Raw genomic sequence first — 3,888 nt, 5'->3', positions numbered from 1 at the left:
TACTAAATCTGCCATAATTTTTTTCTAAACAATGATATGAAAACAAGTCCAACAAGTGTTATTAAGGAGTGGAAAATATGCAGGGAAATTTTAAGTGGAATGTTGATTATTAAATTTACAAGGAAACAAAAGTAGAGAGCCAAACAAACAAAAGAAAAAGGAAGTCACTCCATAAAAATTTAGTTTCTATGGAAACCCAAGTTTCAGCTCTTAAACATTTTCCAGGGACTAACTATGCTGTTTGGGCTGTGTGGGAAGCAGATGCTGGGATGGAGTTAGGAGTTCAAGAGTTTTATTGGATGGTAACACCTGTAAACAATGAAAGGAGAAGGAAGCAAGGCAGGAAAGAAAAAAAAAATCTTTAGGCCTCAATGCAATGCAGCACTGACAGATGTAAAGGGAAGGCAGAGCTAGGGACAGAGGAGAGGAGAAGCAGGATTAGGCAGCAAGTGCCTCAGGCTGAGTTGCAGATCTCAAAATGTCTCCACCAACTCAACAGGGAGCTCCAGAGCAAAGATTGCCCTTAGAGGAGGCCCACGTTGGTTAGAAATGGCCAGGCCCTTGGACTCCCACCATGATCAGTCATTTGCTGGGGTCTGCCAGAGTGAAGCAGAGGCAAATGATGCAGCACTAATACCCGCAGGCTGTCAGCTAACTGTGCTTCTTGCAGCCTGACAGCAAGCTCTTCCTTGAAGGAAGATCAGAGAGGTGCACCTCCATGCATGACACACTCACAGAAGAGGAAACACCTGTGGTGTCAAACTGGATGGCCTTCCAGGGGACTCACATTAGAGGTCTCACCTCCACCCTTCTTGTTGTTCTCTCTGGTGCTGGTGTTAAGAGTTTTATCAACAACCAGACTCTTTTGTAAAAAAAAAAAAAAATTTAAGGTCTCCTATCTACTTTGTGAGTCTTGATTTTGTTAATAGTAGATTGTATAAGTCAAAAATCCATGTCATTGGCCACAGGTAAACTGCAAACACTGTAAACTGCTAAAAGCAAATGGAGCAGTTGAAGGTGCAACATCCTACCTCCTGCCCTTTTCTCAAATTCCTTGTAGACTCTTCACGACACATGGTTGTCCTGCACTAGTGCAGTAAAGTTGCCGGTTCAAGTCTCTGTTAATATTAGCAGAATTTTTTTTTCAATGTTTTGTCTTATTTATTAAGACACACACATATGGAACTGGAAATGCCAACATTTCCTCCATTGTCTGTTTGTGGAATGGTAGTAGTCTGTGACATGTAATGAGGAGATGCATAAGAGCAAAGGCAGGTCTGCAGGCTTTTTTTTTTTTTTTTTGAGACAGAGTTTCACTCGTGTTGCCCAGGCTGGAGTGCAATGGCGCGATCTCGGCTCACCGCAACCTCTGCCTCCCGGGTTCAAGCGATTCTTCTGCCTCAGCCTCCCGAGTAGCTGGGATTACAGGCATGTGCCACCACGCCCGGCTAATTTTGTATTTTTAGTAGAGACAAGGTTTCTCCATGTTGGTCAGGCTGGTCTCAAACTACCGACCTCAGGTGATCCGCCTGCCTCGGCCTCCCAAAGTGCTGGGATTGCAGTTGTGAGCCACCGTGCCCGGCTTCTGCAGGCCTTCTGAAGGCACTATTCTGTGAGGGATTTTGCTCACTGCATCTGCCAACTGCTGATATCAGGCAAAATACATGCAATTCTGGTAGCACTACCTTTAGTTCTAGCTCAAATGGCTCTTAAGATGGCAACTTAACTACCATTTATTGAAGGGGCTTAATACATATCAGAGGCTTTTTGTATATTATGATTATCAGTTGCTTTAAGAATAGTAAGATTATTTCCTCCATTTTGTAGATGGTAAATCTGAGACATAAAAGGAGATTAAATATCTTGCTCATATTCACACAGCTATCATTTGACAGAGTTGAGATTCAAATCCAGGTCTGATTCCAGATTTCATATTCAAACATGTTCTAATTATTTCTCACAATGAGAACTTTAACAGCTTGCTAAAATATTGTTACAAAAAATAGAAAGAAGAGTCTCACTTGTTTATATACAGGATATGAGAATGTACACATTAATTTTTGTTTAGTAACTTTTTTTCTATCTCAATATTTTACATTTTGTTTACTACGGGCAGCTACCCTTTCTGTACCCTATTTATATTTCAAAAACTGTCTCTTTATTGCTGTCAAATTGAGAACAGTTTTCTTATTTGTATTCAGGTGACAATGAGAGGAAGCTACCAAATGATGCACAGGAAGAAGGCAAGGCTGTCATTATAAACTGAGTGTGTGAGAAACGCCAGTCAATGCTGGTGGCTCATAGGCTGGCCCACCTCTTCCCTCCACCCCTCCCTCCCTCCCCTCTTCCCCCTTTCCCCCTTCCCCCTTTGTCCCTTTCCCCTTTCCCCCTTTCCCCTTTCCCCACTTCCCCACTCCCCCCCTTCCCCCTTTCCCCGCTTCCTTCCTTCCTTCCTTCCATCCTTCCTTCCTTCTTCCCTCCCTCCCTCTCTCCCTCCCTCCCTCCCTTTCTTCCTTCCTTCCTGCCTTTAGAAGCAGCCTCTGCCTGCATGGTAATGTGCTGAGGGCAATGCTATTGTCTGAATGCTCTGAAACCAGAGTAACTAGCTTAAAGGAGACTTAGGGAACACACTTGGTCCACAAAGTGAGCTTCTGAATCAGGCAGAGTCCTAGTTCACCTTTCACAGAGGGTGACAAACTCTGTTCTCTTCATACTTGGCAAAATTACTTGGCATTGCCATGTTTATGTTCCTGCTCCATGTTTAAAAATTCCTGGAAAAAATTCTTCTTTGACACCCTAATAAGAACATCCATCTGAATCCAGATCAGTGTGCATTGGATGCTTCCTGCCAGGTGTTGCAGATCCTTCTGTACTAAGATGTTTGTGATTTTCTGAAATTGTGCAGTGTGAGCACTCAGGAAGCAGGGATCTTCATTTGGCTTCCACTGGCTCCTTAGTTTGCTCCTGCTACAGTGAATGAGGATTCCAATTCCATAATTAGAAAATCTCCTAGGCCATCTTCTCTAGACTGAACAAAGGGAGGTTGCATGGCCCCCTGACACTGGGGGAAATAAGTCACTGCCCTAGAAGAACTCTCTTTGGCTACCCTGAAGAATCTGTGTAATCTCTGTGTGGCCAGTGATATGCACTCAACTCATTACTTCTGCTCTAGAATGTAAGCTCTGTAAAAGGAATAATTGGGTCTTTCTAGATAGGTCTCTATCCCCAGCACCCTAGCACTGAGGCCATCTTAGCTGATTGATAAATATGTGCTTATATGAATAGAAGAGCTGAAAGGAAAGGTATCTTGTTGTTAATTTTTGTTGGTTGGCTGATTGGCGTTAGCCCCAAGACATGCTACCTCAAAACCTGTCATGAACGAACTTCTTGTAGATCCATGTGAGGCTCCTCAACTCTGGCTTGTTTTTTTCTGTGTTTGTTTGGTTTAGTTTAAATTTTAATTTAATTTTTGACAAATTATAATTGTACATAAATACAGGGTACACAGCCACGTTGATATACATACAGTGTGGAATGATTGATTTTGAACCTCCCACCTTAACTAGCTTCCTGTACTGGTTCTCTCTGTCACTATTTATGTCTCCTCTGGCTCTGGCTGATCCTCCAGGTTCTGGCTCTTTGCTTTCCCTAACTTCTCATTCCTGCCACTTTCTTCACACTCTGATCTCTGCTTCCAGGATCTTTGCTTCCTAGGCCTTTTTATTACAAGCGTGACTTTAAAGCTCAGTGGCCAAACTAATCTTGCCCTCAAACAGCCATCCTCCTGTCACTTTCCTTCCCTAACCTTCACTTGTGTTCTTTAGGTGGAACTATGTCATGAACACTGGGGATTTTCTTTGAAAGTAATGATGCTTGCTAATGTGCAAT

This window comes from Homo sapiens, chromosome 6, assembly GCF_000001405.40.
Source record: "Homo sapiens chromosome 6, GRCh38.p14 Primary Assembly".
NCBI lineage: Eukaryota > Metazoa > Chordata > Mammalia > Primates > Hominidae > Homo > Homo sapiens.
This window is presented reverse-complemented; position numbering follows the sequence as displayed.